At 39.6% G+C, this 18,263-nt stretch overlaps 1 protein-coding gene across 2 annotated transcripts in view, besides 2 other annotated features; it reads left to right on the top strand.

The window, feature by feature from the left end:
* Positions 2,125-18,263, top strand: part of DAB2 (DAB adaptor protein 2) — a 53,304-nt gene continuing 37,165 nt past the window's right edge. For both annotated transcript variants that reach the window (NM_001244871.2, NM_001343.4), the window contains exon 1: positions 2,125-2,301. The gene's annotated coding sequence lies outside the window, so the exon portion shown is untranslated. The remainder of the gene's footprint in view (positions 2,302-18,263) is intronic.
* Positions 16,562-16,731: an enhancer, noted in NCBI's record as "experimental_84831 CRE fragment used in MPRA reporter constructs". NCBI's record gives its function as "activates a minimal promoter by MPRAs in K562 erythroleukemia cells, with activity observed for both the introgressed and non-introgressed 5:39410561 or rs3849761 variant alleles {active_cell/tissue: K562}" and the evidence as "EXISTENCE:reporter gene assay evidence [ECO:0000049][PMID:34662402]".
* Position 16,646: a transcriptional cis regulatory region, noted in NCBI's record as "Neanderthal adaptively introgressed variant 5:39410561 (GRCh37/hg19 assembly coordinates) or rs3849761 in the experimental_84831 CRE". NCBI's record gives its function as "modulates activity of the experimental_84831 enhancer by MPRAs in K562 erythroleukemia cells {active_cell/tissue: K562}" and the evidence as "EXISTENCE:reporter gene assay evidence [ECO:0000049][PMID:34662402]".

Genomic DNA, 18,263 nt, shown 5'->3' with positions numbered 1-18,263 from the left:
TGTTTCACGAGGGATAAAAAGAGTTAAATTTCTTTTCTTTTTTTTTCTTAATGTGAGCAGGACATTGAATTACTGCCAGAAGCAATATCGGTGCCCTAGAGATATAAAAATACAGTTCAAACCAGAATTCTCCACTGTCGACTCTTCAGATTTCTGTGCAAAATAAGAGGTGTCTATTTTAAGTTGTAAGTGTGAGCCCACTGCTCTTAAATGAACTGTTTTCATCAAAGTCTTCTCTTGAAACTACAACTCATAGCAGATGAAATCATTTTCTTCCTCTGGCTTCTTAGACAAATCCCTTCCATTTGGTGGGGTAGAGCAAACATAAGTTAGTATTTCTTGGTAAGAGTCTTTCAAAAAAAAAAAAAATAGAATTGAGTGAGCACTTCTTAGTCTAGAAAATATTACATATTGAGGTTAAAAGAGACACCCATGTCTTTCTAATTATCAAAGTCTCTATTTGCCTGAAGTCAGCAGCCCTTTTTCCAGCTACCTAGCCAATAGAAATGAAACTGGACTTCTAGATTTTAGAAACAAAGCCTTGTGTTCTAAAATGTACTAGAATTACATTTCTCTGCATAAATGTTATAAATAGAATACTATCCTAGGACTAAAATTTGTATACTTCCTGTCATTCACACAAAGTCATTTTTTAAAATAGCAAATTACCTCTGAGGAATATTGAAAACTGCCAGCATGGCCCTCCCTGCCTCCACACCCCTAGGTGTGTCAGGGGATGAGAAATAGTAGAGGCTGGGGAAGTAGAATTCTGGGCCAGCTGTGCTGCTCTGCACCCCTCAGTCTCCCCGAACAACGGTTGTTTCAAGCCTGACCTACTTGAGAGCAGACATTGCCACTCACATTGAGCTACCCCAAATTACACAGTGGCTTTGCAGTCGAGGCTAGGCACGGACCACAAAATATATCCTTGATGTCCCACGAGCCCTATTTGAACCCTCAGTTTCCAGAGGTAAAATGCAAATCCACTGTGTTGCTTACTCGATAAAATCAATAACCCCCTCCCATCCGAGATACAATTTAGCATTTTCACATTTACTACGTGCTGCCTCTGACTTTAAACAATTAAATTTTTTTCTTAAAAAAAGGGAAAAGAGACACGTCTTTCACAAGAGTAATTTCAGAATTCTCCAAAAAGCAACAGAGCTTCTGTGGATGTTTTACAATAATTCTTGATTTTAAAATATGGAGAAAATGAATTCTCAGCTTGTTAACACTCATTAGGATTTGCTGCGGAGTACCTTCTACCGCTCAGCACTCTACGTTAACATTTTTAAATATTTTATTTCTTGCAGTTCATGTTTTTCCTAGAGTTATAGGAAGTGCTATGGAAATTCATGCAGATAAAGTCATGTTATGTGTCTACATATAGGTGTATATACACTGTAAGGGAAGCCTGTATAGAATCTCTGATTGTATCAGAATTATAACTTATTTGATAGGCTACATAGACGTGAACATGTTTTGCTCATATCGATTTCAGAGAGAATATTATTTTTATATCCATATATATGATTATATTTCATAGGTAAATACAGTATGTTTCACATATGCACACATAGATTTCCCACTAACTTAAGCGCATTTGCATCTGCAATGAGGGAGACACTAATTTCTTCTAAGGGGAGCAAATCCAATCGCGCGATCAACTTTAGAAACTGCAGATCTGCGCAGGAACCGTTGTCCCTTGTCAGAAAAGTCAGGAGTAAAGGCAGTCCTTTGTTCAAAGGGCCCCAACGGGTTGGTTAGGATGACTCCGTGTGCCACATCACTCGCAGTGGCAATCCAGGGAACGGATCTGTGAAACGAAGCTCGGTGGATCCCACCCCTTTCCTCCAGAGCTTCCCTTTCCTGTCCTTATTTGCACCCGCCCCCCGCCCGCGTCGGTCTGGGGCTTTTGACTTCTCCCCGAACACATTTCCCCTCCCGTCGCTGGGTCCCTGCGATCGCCCCCAGCTGGTGGGGCTCGCGGAGCTCAGGGGAGCGGGGTCCTCTGCGCCGCTGCAGCGCGAGTTAATAAACAGTTAAGTTTGGAAGACTCTGCAGACACGTTGAGGGGGAGTTACCAAGCCCAGGCAGCAAAAACATCCTGGCACATTCCTGGGGAGTCCTCAGCTGCCAGCATCTGATTAGAACCATATCTCTCGCCGGGAGTGGCCGCGCGGCTCCGAAGCTCCCGGCCGGCGGCTATTTAAGCGAGGCCCGCCGCATCCGCTGCGCTGTAGCCTGGAGGCTCCGGGCGCGGGGAAGTCATGCTCGCTTCACGGAGGCAATAGCTAGCCGGTGAGTAGCTTCGAAACCCTTCTTCCCTCTGGCTCCATTTTTTTTTTAAAGATCTCCTTCTCTCCTTTGCTCCCCCTCTCTCACCCCCCCGCCCCCCGCTACCCTTCTTTGAGTACAGACCTTGGGCTGTGGGGAATCTTAGAAATGAGACCCTGTGCTTGGGGAAACCAGCAGTTTTGTGGCCTGACATCTGAGGAATGCTTCCGCGGAATGTATTTACCTTTCGAATCCGACTCCAGATGCCCAGCTTGTGACATTTAACAAACGCCTCCTTTTGTGTCGTGTGTGTGTGTGTGTGTGTGTGTGTGTGTGTGTGTGTGTGTGTGTGTGTGTAAAAGGTCTGCGGGCAGCCCTCCTAGGACACTGAGGTGGCTGCTGACCGCCTAATTAACTCCTCGAAGGGTGTTTATTTTTGCTGTGTGACAAAGGCTGGGGACCTGGCTTGTGCCCATAAGGAGCTTTTTCCTGGTGACTGACAACATATGGCATTAAAATGTGAACTTTTGTCTTACACCGGCATTCCTAAGGAAGTATCTACCCAAGGGACTTAAGAAACTTGTTTTATATCCCCCGGCGCAGGGAGCATGGTTTATATGGTGCTTGCCTGCCTGTTGTAAGCTGGTTAAAAAGATTAAGTAAGAATTCTAAAAAAGGGGGGAAAAATGAATGGGTTAAAACCGTGGAGCCTCAGTCAACATAGCGGTTTTCATAGCATAGAGCTGACTCTGTTATTTGTTTCTGCTGTCTTTCCCTCTTGACTTAATTCTGAGCCTGGAATTCTGGTCCGCAGACAGTTTCAGCAGGGAGCTGAGTCCAAAGGGAAATTCAACTGGATTAAAAACACTTAAGGAATCTGGGTGTTATCTCCACCCCAACCACCCCCCACCTTTTCCCCTTTCTTTTTAGTTTTTGTTTGGAAGGAAGAGAGCCGCTCTGTAAACCGAGAAGAGCAGAAACAAGCTTCCAGACACATGGAAAGACTTAAAAATTATGGAGGGGCGACTTCACGAATAGTAAATGTTGCTATTGCTCTATAAAGTGACTTCATGAAAAAATTTCTGGCCTTAGTCAGGCAAAGCAGGGGCATGGGGGAGAAGGAGGTAAGATATAACTAATGCAAACAGAAGTAATGGGAGTGGAAAGCAGGCATCTACAAAAAATGCCTTTGAGATGTCTGATAAGCCTCTTGGAATGGCTTTGATGAGATGTATACTTGATTGTCCTTACAGTCTTGAGGTTGGCTTCTCACACAAAAGCACCTACTGGCTGTTGGGGAGGAGGGAGCTTGCAGCTACCAAATGGCTTGTCACCATGCTTCTTACCCCAGCAGCCAGACTTTGGGAGGCTACTTTTCTCTGAGCCAGGTGCCCCGCCCACTCCAGGTTCTGTGTCTCCCCTCTTGGAAGGGAGATGGCCCTCAGTGACACTGTAAGAAAGTTTATTGCCTTGAGAATTCGGGAGTATTTGAGTACAATGGGAAAGTCTTCTAGAGAAAGCATGAAGAAGACCTAGTGGTCTTTGCCAATGTGGATTTCTGGGACAGACCACTTCTTCCAAATCCTTAGTCAGTTTCCTCCTAAGGCCAACTAAATTCTTTTTCCTGTTGTTGGTGAATAACTTCCCCCTTCTTTTCCCACTCCCAGCTGGAAGGATCCCTTCTCATCCAAATGACTGACCTAGAAACCAGTCATTTTTCAGCTATGCCCTCCTATGCTTTAATGTATAACCAGAATAAGTAGATGGTAGAGGAATGTCTTCCAACTTTGAGCCCATACACGTATGTATTTGCCATTCTGGGGATCTTTGATCTTGATGGTTGATCTTTACCTGAGGATGTAAGTGAGGGAAGAAAGCACTTGTTACAAACCTTGTCTAATTTGTGAAGGGCAAACTCCAGAGTTTGTGTTTCTGCTAAAGACTTTTATAGTTTCAGATTAAACTGGAAGTCCAAATTCCTGTGCATTAGGCCTGTTTGTTGTCTTTCTCCAAAGGTTGAATGGATTTCACTGGCCTTGTTTGGGTTGAAGGGTACGGCTTTTAAGGCACTTGTTGGCATGAAGGTAGTACAGGGACCTCTGGCAGCTGCTGACCAGCTGTTTGGGGATGATATTTACTGGCCTGCTCAACCAGGCCTCGATTATCTGAAGGTTAAGGGAGCAGGAAGATATCTTCCTTGCTGAGTGCTCCTGGCCAAGCAGGAGGCTTTGCTGTGACATAGGCTCTTATGCTGCTTCATTTCTAACTCTACCCTCATATGTCCATAAACCTAAGTTTGCTACCACTGATATTTCATCTGGATAATTTTGAAGGCTCTGCGTGTTTCTCTTCCTCATTCTTTTGACCTGAGGATTTAATTATTGCTCTTCTTAAAGACAAAGCCAAGATGCTGAAATGCTTGGGAAAGCTGCTGAGAGTGAGCCCTCCTGGGGTTTGAAGTTGTCCTAATGCTCATCAGAACATACCTCCCCAGCTGGAAAGATTCGAAAGCTTACTGGCCAGGAAGGTTTAGGTAACTAACCAAACACATAAGGTTTTTTACCCTTTAGACAGAACCAGAATGGGAACCAGATTGGCAATATGAAACACCTGAGTAACAGGATGTGGTATTTTAAAATTCTCCCTGGCACTGCTATGTAATTCCAAAGTTGAAGCTGTGCCGCTGAATTGCACAAAGGTTGGCCAAAATCATATTTAGGTGAAACAGATTTTTGTTTTGTTTTGTTTTGTTTTGTTTGAGACAGAGTCTCCCTCTGTTGCCCATGCTGGAGTACACTGGCATGAACTTGACCCACTGCAGCCTCTGCCTCCTGGGTTCAAGAGATTCTGTGACCTCAGTCTCCTGATTAGTTGGGATTAGAGGTACCCGCCACCATACCTGGATAATATTTTTTTTTTTTTTTTGTAGTAGTAGTAGAGACGGGGTTTCACCATGTTGGCCAGGCTGGTCTCGAACTCCTGACCTCAAGTGATCCACCCACCTCGGCCTCCCAAAGTGCTGGAATTACAGGCATGAGCCCACCACACCCGGCCAGATGAATCAGATTTAACACCAGATATGTGTCTTTAAAGGAGACCCAACTCATAATATCAGCATATCCTGACTGGATTAACTGGTGGAAATCAGAAGGAAAGCAGACTCCTCAGTCTTTACTTAAAGACAGAAAACAAGCAAATTCCTGGTTAGGGGAACAAATGATGACTGGTACGGACACAGAGGGCTAACATTCAACACTGGCTGCCTCCAACAGGGCACAATTGGATAGTAGTTGAGAACTACCTTCTGAAGTACCATTTCCTGGGTTCAAATCTTAGCTACAGGGTTGCAGGTTACATGGCCTTGGGCACATTCCATAACCTCTCTGTACTTCAGCTTGCTTATCTGGGGAGAATAATAGTACCTACCCCAGGATTGCTGGGAAGACAGCTAATCTAATATACTTGGAATACTTTTTCCCATCTGATTTTGAAGGTTTTGTTTGTTTGTTATTACTCCCCCCTGAACAACTGAATTAAGTGTCTTTGTGAAAACTGAAAGCAAATGGAAAATTTCTTCATGAAAATTGAATACCCTTCACCTACTTGAAAAAGGTTAATTATTCAAGCACTTGATTTTAATAAAGCCAGTGCGTTTGCTTGTGCTCATGCTAGAACAGACAGGGAGTTACTCTCTGTTTTCGTCCTGGAAGCCTGCACTTTGGTTTGGTCAGGCTGACCTCGCTGGTCTCAATTAAGTCCTCCCCACACCCTCTCAGACTCCTGACAGAGAAGGAGCAATCCTTCCCCCTGAAGTCAGCATTGTCACAGAAGGAAGTGGGAAGGGAGGGACCACCCGGATTAAACTGAATGACTAGGCTAGAAATAAAAATTCTTCCGAGTGTGTGCAGGCCCCATACTATCCTTGCCCACATAGCTGGGCAGGTTGCCATGGTTACTCCCCTTCCCGCATCCTTCTACCCTGGAAGGAAGCCTGCCTCTCTAGGGGAAGTAGAATCTGAACAAATTGCTTCCTGGTCTAAAAATGGAAGTTACTAAGTGAAGTAGAATCTCCTCTCTACTTATATCACCCCCTCCAAACTTATTTTAATCCCAATACTTAATTTTCTAACCTTCCTAGTTCTTGCATCATCTAGATAGCAAAACATGAAAGCTTATGAAATTTCTGGAACCTAAAAGTTACTACCTCAATATAGAAGCAGCCTGGCAAGTTTTCCCTACTACATTTGTACTAGCTAGCTAGGGGCAAGTGATTTTTAACTAAGTCAACTGGTAAAAATTCTAAGTGAATGGGGCAGGCTGAGTGAGTGTTACGTTGAAGGTAAACAATGTATGAGGGCTGTCACTTAGATTTTCAGGTAACCATAGAGTAAAGGGAGCAGGTAAATAGGAAGTAACAATCCTAGAATGCTGGATTTGAAGCACCTTTCAACCTAGAAGAAATCTGGATGAGGGAAATATGGTTTAATGTTGTCTCTTGGTAAAAAACTACCCTATTGCTACCTAGCAATATGATGCAAAATGTTAGTCCCAAAAAGACTTTGATCTTTATATGAAAGATGAGCTGCCATACACAAGTTTGCATTTGACAAATTAATTCAGTCTTTCAAAATTGGACATTTAGCTTGATGTGTATTTCACAGCTTGAGGGAACTCATCTAAGACAATAGTTCTCAGAGCTGATTCCCAAACCAGCAGCATCAACATCAGCTGGGGACCTGTCAGAACTGCAAACTCTGGAAGTAGGGCCCATCCAGCTGTATCTAAACTAGCTCTCCACCACGTGATCCAAGAGTAACTTTCATAATTCAGTGGTTTTAGGATTCACTTCTTCAGTGGAAATCATAACAAAGTATTTGAATTCCTTCAGTCATGGAGATAATAAAGCAAAAGCCTTTAAACACAGTGCAGTTTAACTGAATCTTAGGATGCAGAAAGATTAAAAAGCATGGGATTTGGATATTTTTCCCATATACCAAGTATGACTTTCTTGATCCTAGGAAATCCAATATACTTTTGGTTTGATATTATCACCTCACTTCCAAATCTTTTCCCCTCTGCTGGGGTTTTTAAAGAGTATAATTAATCTTCATTTATTAGGAGACTGTCCCACTTACTTCTTTTAAAAAGGATTCCAGTAAACTAGATCATTACCCTTGAACCAGATGGTTTTCTCTAACCTATAAAACTTTTTATTTTGTTTTTATGCCATGTCTAGAAGTGCAGATGAAGTCCTCTCCATAAATGAGTCTACTTCATTTAGTTTTTGTAAAGTTTAATGGCTAACGAAGCACTGCTCCTTTCTCCCATTCGACTTTCACTTTAAGTAACTTGAAATAGAAAAGATATCTCTATTTATTGGCTCCAATATGATGAGTATCTTGCCCAAGGTGTTATCATTAAGTGGTAGAGCCAGGATTCAATTATGAATCTTTATGATTTGCACCTTGGCGTTTATCTGAATACTTAGCAATTACCTACTATGTGAAGTCTGATGCTAGGTTAGCAATGGAAAATCTCCCAGTGAGCAGAAATCAAAACAAAAGTCTTCCTCATGTGTGGCAAAGGACATAGGATAGAGAGTTAAACAGACTTACATGTGAATGGCAGTGCTACCATTTCTTGGGCATGCTATTCAATGTCTCTGGCCCTTAGTTGTCTCACTTACCTTGCAAAAACAGTCCTAAGAATGCCTGATGTCAAACAGAGATCACATCTCAAACTGAAAAATACAAGGGTGTGATGTACAAGTATATAATTGGAACTCTGATTTTGAAAAGCCAACATAGATTCATGGTTAAGAGCTTGGGTTCTAAGCTGCAAATGACTGTGCCCACAGCCTAGCTTTGCCATGTAAGACAAGCTATATAAGGCCTGAGCTTCATTTCTCCATCAGGAAAATGAGTTGCCTCGATTTTAAAATTAAAAACTCTTCAGAACTCCTGCGGCTGCTTCTGAAATTTACCTGTCCTAGAAATGCAATTCTCAATGCAATAACTAAGCTGATATTTTTTAAATGGTCTTGTTCTCATTGTTTTTGAGTATCAGGCAAGCTAAATTCTAGAGATGCACACATTCAGGCTGAAAATTAGAAGACTGTCTTTCCTATATATCTTTAAACTATTAAATGTGAATAATCAAGGAGGAGAATGTGGCAATGCTTCATAAATCAGTAGAGGCACACAAATACTAACTTTAAGGTACCACTTAAACCTCATCTGAGCAGGGCAGTTAAGTCCTCTTAAGGTCTATAGTTAATCCATACCCAAAGAACTGGAAAGTGAATAACTTCATCCCTAATTGTGTCCATATTGAACACAGCTGCCCTCTCGGTTCTAAATATTGCATCCAAATGATCTCACTTATTTTTTTATATTTTAAGTGTCCTATTAGGGGGCCAAGACCTGGTCTAGTTTTCTGTAATATGTAATACAGATGCTAACGTGCTTTTTGTTACCATTTAGTGCAACAGAAATAAACCAAATGTGTTTGAACATATGTCAGAGGGCTGACATAATCATATGAAGAATGCTATACCAGTTTGGCTTTGGGACGAAATGTGAATCTACTAGGGCAACATACAACTGCCCTCTGAGTCAGAAGATCAGAAGTTGCTGTGGCTACACATAGTAGGTGCTCAAATATCCATCCTTTAAAGGGAAGGGTCAGCTGTGCTTTAGTTATATCAGCATTAGGTTTTGTTGTTGTTGTTACTTGATTTTGTTTTGTGTTGCTCCCTGCCCCCTTTACCTCTAAAATTAAGCGACTTAAATGCAATTCATTTTTGAAGTAGAAAAAACAAGTATGTAGCTGATAGAACAGGCTTTTCCATCAATTGTTGGTTGCTAGTAAGGAGGGTCAATATTGATTTCTGCCTGGGCTAAGGTTCAACTATAGCTGAGGCTTTTCAGAGAGCATACATGTACTAGAATTGAAATGATAGACAGTTATATTTAATGTCCACGCTGTCTTCTAAAGGATAGCTTGATGCAGAAATGCTTGCTTAACTGCCTGAAAACCTGTTCTTTGTGATTTCTGATTTGTCTAACTGGTCTGAAGTTCCCAATGACTAAAAGTTGATAGTAATTGAAAGTTGGGTGCAAATATTTACCTTAGAGGGACACATATATGACAAGAGCTGCCTATAAGATAGTTAGAGAAAATAGTAACTACTCAACTAACATATGATTTTATTGTAGTTAAGTGGTACAGAGTGTTGTGTGGATCCAGAGGGAGAAAAAGGCCATTGGTGTTAATGGATTTGGCTTTTAAAGGAACAATGGAAGTCAAATAAGCAAAGGTAAGAAGAGAAAATGCATTTTAGGCAGCAGCGCATATGCAAATCATGCAGTTGGATGAACTTAGGATATGCCTAAAGAACTCTGACTGGTCAGTTTGGCCAAGAAACAGTACAGGTGGCATAGGGCTGAGAAGTGTCTGAGTTTGAAAAGTAGGGATGAATTATACTGAGCCATGGATGTCAGGATAAGAATTTTGATTTTTTTTTTTTATTTTTATACTTTAGATTCTGGGGTACATGTGGAGAACATGCAGTTTTGTTACATAGGTATACATGTGCCATGGTGGTTTGCTGCATCCATCAACCCATCACCTACATTAGGTATTTCTCCTAATGCTATCCCTCCCCTTACCCCCCAACCAGGCGCCGGTGTGTGATGTTCCCCTCCCTGTGTTGATGTGTTCTCATTATTCAACTCCCACTTACAAATGAGAATATGCGGTGTTTGCCAAGCAGATCCGTCATTAAAGCAGGAAAACCAAATGCTGATTGGGATAACTTAACCTGGCTCTATTGGCAGAATGTGTTTGAGTGGAGATTGCTTAGTAGTTGAAGAAAAGCCTATATTTCTTCAAAAATCATCAAAGTAGAGAAAAGGGTTGCTTAACCTAAGATTAAGGTGCAAAAAGAAATATTTATTACCCCTAATGTTTTAAGCGCACTGCTCATTAACAGACTGTGTCGAGCCTAGAAAAGTAGGGCAAATAATTTTCGGATCCCAAAAGCTTTATTGAATTGAGAGAAGAGCTCTACATGAATCAGAGGGCAATGATAGGTCATGGCAAATGTGAGGAAATGGCTGGTAAGAGGCCGGTAAAGACTTCCCTGAGACCACACATCTTGAGTGGCCTTGGAATGAAGGTTTTCACGAAATTCAAGAAGGTGAAGGCAGTACATATTACAGGCTAGCAGACCACATAAGAAGGTCTGGTGTGTCTATGTGTCTGTTTAGGGGAAACAGAAGACAACGGCCTCTTCAGAGAGCAGGTGGCCATGTATATGTATAGTCCACAGCCTGATTAGAAGGGCTTTGAATCTCAGCTTGAATGTGAATGGAGGAATTGAACACCGATACCTGATTAATTCAAAATCAGGAAAGCTAGGAGGCCAGTAAACACTCCTACAAAAATTTAGCCATAAAGGGAGATCAGTTACAACCAGAGTCTCTTACACCTTAGATTCTCACTGAAGCCCTTTGGAGAAAATGGAAGAAAGAGCTCATCCCATAAAGAGTTGTTTGTTTGTTTGTTTTTCACTTCAAGTGTTTTAAATATATTAAGGAGTACTTATGCTATGTGTGTAGAAAAGATCAACAAACACCATAATATAAGTCCGCTAATCATGAGGGACATGTATGATACAACGTGGTATAGCTTTTTAGGGAGGAGGAACTCAGGGTGGCGGTGAGGCAAGGTTGAGGAAAAATGCTGGAACTAAGTAAAAAAAAAAATATGATGGGGAGGGAGGAGAGGTGTGAAAATAAAGGGTAATTATGAAAAGTAGACTTTCAGAGGTTTGACTCATTCATTAAACATGAACAGTTTAGGATAAAATCTTAGCTTCATTCTAAGCTGCAGACAGTACTGTTGTGGATCTTTTAGGTATATCTGCATACGAAGTACATTCTGTAATGCTGTTCCCACTTAGTGTATAGTGATGCAAATGTTCAGTTTTCTGCACAAGAACTCTTTCATAGAAACAGTGGGCACAACCATGTTCTGTGTTAGGATCTGGACTCTTACACTTCATGCGGCCAACATTTGTGGAGGGCTCACTACTTGTATTGATCATGAAGTCCATTTCCTTGAAGACTGACATTGACCAAGTGCTGCCTGGTAGCCCCTTGATAATGCTCTTGTGACTTGGTAGTGCTCTTTAAATAACTAAAGCAAGCTGTAGGGACCCTTGGTTACATTTTCATAAGATTGTTTCACTGAAATCTGAGGTTCAATGTTTGGCCTGATCTGAAAGTGACACGTTGTATTCTTAGAAAATCTGGTAATTAAAAGTGCCACAGAACATGTCTGGTTCTAGAATACAGAAGTTCCCTGAATTGCTTGTACTTCTTAAGTGAATGCCAGACTGAATGCCAAATGAGCATAGTGTTTCCTTCTGGTGTTTATGAAGATAGTGTTGATTCAGAACTTTGGATCTTATGATAACTCTGAAGGAAACATCACTGAAATTCTTCAATACCCTCAGGTATAACAGAATTGCTTCCTTCTGTTACTGCCATACAGATGGTCCTTCAGATTGTAACGTGGTTATAGGAGACTCATAAATATTAAATGTAAATATCCCCTCAATTTGTGTCATAATTTAAAAATTGTTGAAGAGGGTTATTAACCCTTCAGACAACATTTGCATCTTTCCATAATTGATATCAATACAGCAATTTATATATAATTCCTTGATGTAATACTACTTTTTCTTCCTTTTATGAAGTATTATTAACAGCAATGAAGCTTTCTACCCTAATCAGAAACAATTCCTCCAAAACACATAGCATCAGTTATAACTGTGACCTGCTTGTTCTTTCTCCCCTACCTAACCTCTAAGCCCCTTTAGAGTAGAGACCATGTCTATTTTGTCACTCTATACATAGGATAATGCAGTGCTTGGCAAATAGTAGGTGTTTAATAAACAATAACCAGATGGCCAGGTGAGTGAGTAACTCAAGCCACTTTCATTTACAACATCAATTGCAATTTATTATAGAGTGAGCAAAATGGAAAACTTTAGCTTGCCTTATCATCTGTTGGTATAAGTAAAACAATTCTGACCACCCCCCCCCCTTTTTTTAACTTTAAGGTTATTTATAATGAGCAATATCCATATGTTCTTCTAGTTTATATCTGCTCAGGGCCTGAGGAAGGCAGACAAGCTGTTACTGAAATTCTCCAGATGGTGTGGTCTTTCCAAGTTGCTAGTTTAACTTCTACCAATGGAGTATTCATCATTGCTCATATATCTGTCTGACCTGATGGATGTAATCACCTGGCTAATAAGAATTGTGGTGAATAGATTTCAGCCTGATACTTTATCCACAAACAACTTCTTATTCTCCTTCTGTTTCTCCTTTTAAAAGTGTCCACCAAATTGTTTATAAAATTACTAATAAAATTTGAGAAAATAGGTAAGACCTTTGGCTTAGCACTGGATAATTAAGGCTATTGCTTTGACTTAACACAATTTCTGCCCAAATCAAAGAATCTTGTTTTGTTTTGTTTCTTATTTCCCTGTGCAGCTGTATTGTGAATTAAGATATCCATTAGGCTCTTTAAAATGCTAAAATTAGGTCACAAACTCATTACTGTCTGCACAGACCCCAGCATTTCCAAGAACCCCAGGCTGGAAACCAACTATAGGCCATCCACTGACCAACTTTGAAAATCCTAGCATAAGAGTTTTTTGACTTCTACTTATCATTTGACTGAAAACTTACTGTTGAATTTTTCATATGTCAGGAGCTTTCCCCAACAACTCTGCCTAGCTATCATTTAATGATGCCTAAGATGAAAGTGTTGACAGCTGACTATGGGCACTGTTCTATGTGATTTCAGATATGCTTATGTTCTATGTGTGGTTTCCCTTCACTTTTGAGTTTAATTGAAAGTGACTGAACCCTAGAGCATCTTCATGATTCTGTCTTTAGCCCAAGTTAGACTGTAGACTTATGCCTACATTTTAAGCTTTGCTGTCTACCAAATTAGCACATCTTTAAGGAATTTAATTTTTAAAATACAGAAAGCGCATCGCCCCAATATCACTTATTCTAAATGTATAAGAAGCAGAAATCTGTCTTTTCCTTTCCTACTGCCCTTCTTAATGAGCATTTTCTTGGCACTGGTCTTTCCAGACTTTCAACAGTTTTATGGAAAAACATATATAAATTGGGAAAAATCATGTTAATACATTCTGCTTCATACAAGAGGCTATAAATGCAGGACTATCTTAGTAAATAGCTGCCATTTACAAAAGATGCTCTTTTTTTGTTTTAAAGGAGCTCACATTTCAAAATGTCATTCCACTTCATATACATTTCTATAAAGCAGACATTAGGGGGGCCCTTTTGTATGATGAAATCGATCTTAGAATGTAGGGTGTAAGACATAATGGCCTTTGACTTTTTAAAAAGCCACCTTTAAGACATTATATTTATTTGAAGTTTGAGGGTCACTAAGCATCAGAGCTTGGCAAGATGGGATAACCTTGAATCTAATGTTTGAGATTGTTAGTCCTTAACCTTTCAATTAAAAGCCTTTGTTTCCAGAAGATTAGCCAAATATTTGAAAGAAACCGGCAATGTTGAATCACTCCAAAGGGCAAGTCTGTGCAACTGTCATACTGCAGAGCTCTCTGACTCTTTGATGCCATGTCCCTGTACTCGGATTTGTCACCACCCCAACCTCCACACCATCACTCAAAACCTGAAAGTCCTCCCAGTCCCATCTAGACAAAACAGAGTGCTATCGCCCACCCTAATCCAGTTTGACCCACCTTTTAACTTTTCCCCTGGTATAACCCAGCACAGGCCCTATATTATAGCCAAGCAGACATGAATATCTTTTACGCATTGCTATTAGTTCCTCTTTCCTGAAAGTACTTTCTGGCTATGCACGTTGCCCCAGTCTTTGAAGAACTAAATTAATTATCTCTTTTGTTGTAAAGCAAAGACATTAAAGCATATGTATTAGGCTGGTGTGACTTGCAGGTTGTTGCTTCACTCCTGTGCTTCAGCCTCCTCTCCTGTCAAATAGGGATGATACTGTCCAGGATTAAATGATAATGTCTTAGCATCACATCTGGTATACAATAAACATTAGGTAAATTTAACTTTTAAAAATCTAATATTCTGTGTTTCTAAGGAACATGTCCAGGACATTCTCAGTCCTGGATTCCCAAATCTATTTTCCTCTACTCTCCTTTCTCCCCAGAGCATTTTTCATCTTCTGAAAGTCTATACTCCACTTATGTTTTGCTCCCTGTTAGATAGTAAACCATATAAGGGAACAAATCTTTATTTTGCTCACTGGTATATCCCAAGCTCTAGAAGAATGCCTGGCACTTAGTAGGGATGCAGTTTTGATTACATGAATTAACTTGCTGGTAAAGATCACTGGAATTCAGGGGCAAACTTGGTTTCTAGTCTCTAAATTGCAATGGCTTTAAGTTGGGATCAATCACCAGACCCCCATGTGCTCTAAACAACAACAACAAAAAAGGCTGTCAGTGTCTGCAGGCTTTTCAAGTTTTGTCATAATCATGGTTTCACAGCAAAATCTAGGGTAGCTAGTGGCCTACCATTTGCGTCATCTCTCTGGCCATGCACAATATAAGGGAAATGACATACTCTTAAGAGTCAAAGACATTTGTTTTTTTCCCCCTTAAGGGAATGTTTTGGACCCAGGTGCAAATATAAAATAGCATTTAGGGTAGGAAACCGCCCCAGCTCTGAGAGCGAATGACAGACTCGGAGAAGGGAACTTTATTCACATCTCACCTCTGATAATTAACTCTAAAAGTAGAACTTTGCTTATTTTGGAGGTACTATGCAAACTTGGTAGTGTTGTTTCTCTCACTGTTTTCCTTGATGGAACTAATTGTTCATATGCTTCTGTAGTATGTTAATTAAGGAACACATTGCTAGTTAAAAAAACACTGCAACTGTAAATATTTTTCTGATTTCACATTTTGCTTTACTAAAAGGCTCCTGTGGAGAATGGAAGGGCTTGGTCATTACTTTTGGAGGATTTGTCTTAACTTCCTTGTCTGCAATATTGAGTCTTTTTAATAAAGATTGGATTAGGAACTTAATAGTGGCTTTCAAAGAAGACTTGTCTTTGCACAGGGCTATAGCGTTCAGCTAAGGAAACAAATGATCGAATTGCATTCTCTGATGCTAAAAATGCCTACATAGGAGGACTAGAAAATAGCACATGTTACCATGGAGTGGATCCTCCAAGGCTTCAAGGACCAAATCAAGTTACTTTTATTTAATGACCATAGTAAGAAGCATACAGAGAGGCTACAAATGGAGCCCCTATCTAATCACTTGTGTCCATCCCACATTTCCCTTAAGTATTGAAATGGCAATTGCTAATAGGTACAGAGTTTTGCAGCAGGTCATTAGTGGTTCAGAGAACAGAGGAGACTGCTCTGAAAGAAAATAAAAGCTAATGAAACATCTTGCTTAAGTATTATGTTTTTTATGAACCAAGGAAACTTCCTTTATTATGACTCATTGATGTTGACATTCCCGGGTAGACTAACCAGAAACCTTTTTTTAGTTCAATATAAATATGAGTATTTCATAAAGGGCCAAGAGGTCTCAGCTGACACTCAGCTAAGTGTCATTTGATAAAGAACCATTCCTATTAGTTCACCTCATGCTAGAACTATAAACCAGAGTGGTACCCCCATGATTAGTTAACTTAAAGACTGGTGTGCATTCAACAGGCCTGGAGAAAGAAGAACCCTTATCCCATCTGCTTACTCTGGGAAAGTCTCCCAGTGTTAAGTCAGATTTTTTAACCAACCTTTTGCCTAAAGTCAAACCTGGACCATTAATGTGATATGTGTGACACTGAGGGCTAGGCAGGTATGTAAATGATAAATTTTAGTGAAAAGGAAAAATACTCAATACAATTTCTAGCCAATACTCTGCAAACTAGAAAACAATATAATTCATAGTTTTTTTTTTAAGCAGGTTAGACAATACAGTAATCTCAACATTAACATAAACCAAACTCATTTAACATGGAAGGAGTAAAGAGCTGGCCAGTACTAGATGCACTGTAAAATTATCTACAGCTGGAGATGATTTTGAATAACACATATTAAAAGATACACACATAGATCTAATAAATGAGTCTTTACAGCTTAGAAAACCAGAAAAACTCAATTGTCCTAGTATATAAATTTTTCATGTCAAATAAGTTAAGCCCTTAGGGAAGTAGCAGTTTATTTGGTACCCTATGATTTAATGATTTGTTTAATTAATGCATTGCCTTTTAAAATATCCCAACAGAGTTGTTTATCAGGCTAGTAGTATAAGGTTTATAAGAAACAACATCTTGCATGGGCTATTACTTCATATTAATATAAAGTTAAGATACTAATTACTTCAATCTTACAGATTATGTCCAGATCAAAAGTAAAAAGAATATGATGTTGCCTTTGGGAAAGAAAACTAGATTTTTCTACGATCCTCAAAATTTGTTAATACCAAAATGGTTAATACCATCTCAAGAGCTTATCTTAAAAAATGTAAATGGAGTAGTCAAGACTTGAGCCTTTGAAACTGTTAGCTGATGACATAACCAGGTAGCTTTTCTAGGATATCTTGTTTTTATGCAACTCATACAAAGTTTATTTTTTCCCCTTCCCCAGCCCTGGATTAATTAGAGATGACTAAAATAGATGACCAAAGAAAACAATCCAGTGGAGTGTACATATTAGAAAATCTTCAAAGTCCCTCTATAAATCCTAGAATAAACTTTCTGAAATCTGTACAGATTAAGGTGAAACTTGAGATCTGTCCTTGTGTTCTTGGAGTATTACAACCAAGAAAGAAGATGTGTGAGCTATTTAATATATATTCCTTCCTAAGAAGTCTTAGTTCTCCGAAACACTATCATTCACTTTAATCTTATCTGTAGAGGTCATCTAAATGACTTGTGAAAAGTGGTATAGAAATTGAATTCCTGAGGTCTTCTCTGGATTAGGAACAATGTTTAATGGTTGGGGTCACCAAGGGGTGGTTCTTTTCTGAAATCTCTACTAGACACAAGGTTCCTTGAATTATGCTTCCAAACTTGCTGAGTGTGCTTCCTGATCCCAAAGATAGATGTCTAGCCATGTTTGTGAAAGGGTAGACCAGTCAATGGTGATTACTTACATGATACTAACAGGTGTGATTTTAGGTATGTAAACTTGGATTTATATAAAGAATTCATGAAACAAAACCTGTCTCACTTACAGACTTTATAAGCAAAATTCTGATATTAAGTCGGTGTTTTATTGTATTAATAAGTGAACCTTTCTATGCTCATCTATTTCTGCAGTTACTGAACTGTATACAGATATTTCAATACATTAGAACACTTTGTTGTTCAATGTAAATGCTCCAATTGTGCAACAACTAATCTGTTTACTTCAGTATAAAGTAGAATACTGTCATTTGGAATTTTTACATCCCTCAGTTTAAAAGTGCATTTATTTATTCCCACAAAACATATTTGTTCCAATACTATTTCCCAACAGATGAGAGAATAATGACAGATGTGAACTTTAGCTCAAGAATACTTGTGCATTTCTGCCAATTTTGTTCATCTTGTACTCAATCTGCAGCAGCTTTTTAGAGTTTTTTTTTTTTTAATAATCATAAGCACAATTTCAAGCAGGTAGGCTAACTATTGGGAGGCCTTCTTTTGGATCTGGAATTCGACTCATGTGGTATTATTATATGATCACAAAAAGCAAGACACCAATTTGACAGATTCACCTCTCTCCCTTGTATACAAAAAACGAAAATTACCCAGGGGTTTCTTATCCATTAACCTATCTAATTTGTCCAGTAACCAAGAAATAAGCAAATAAGGAATATATTCTTACTCGTAGAAGAACTCTCCTGGACTTTTAGGAAGCACAGTCTGATGTTGTATAT

Source organism: Homo sapiens, chromosome 5 (assembly GCF_000001405.40).
Source record: "Homo sapiens chromosome 5, GRCh38.p14 Primary Assembly".
In the NCBI taxonomy this organism is placed as follows: Eukaryota; Metazoa; Chordata; class Mammalia; order Primates; family Hominidae; genus Homo; species Homo sapiens.
The sequence above is the reverse complement of the archived record's forward strand: the minus strand, read 5'-3'. Positions and strand labels throughout refer to the sequence as shown.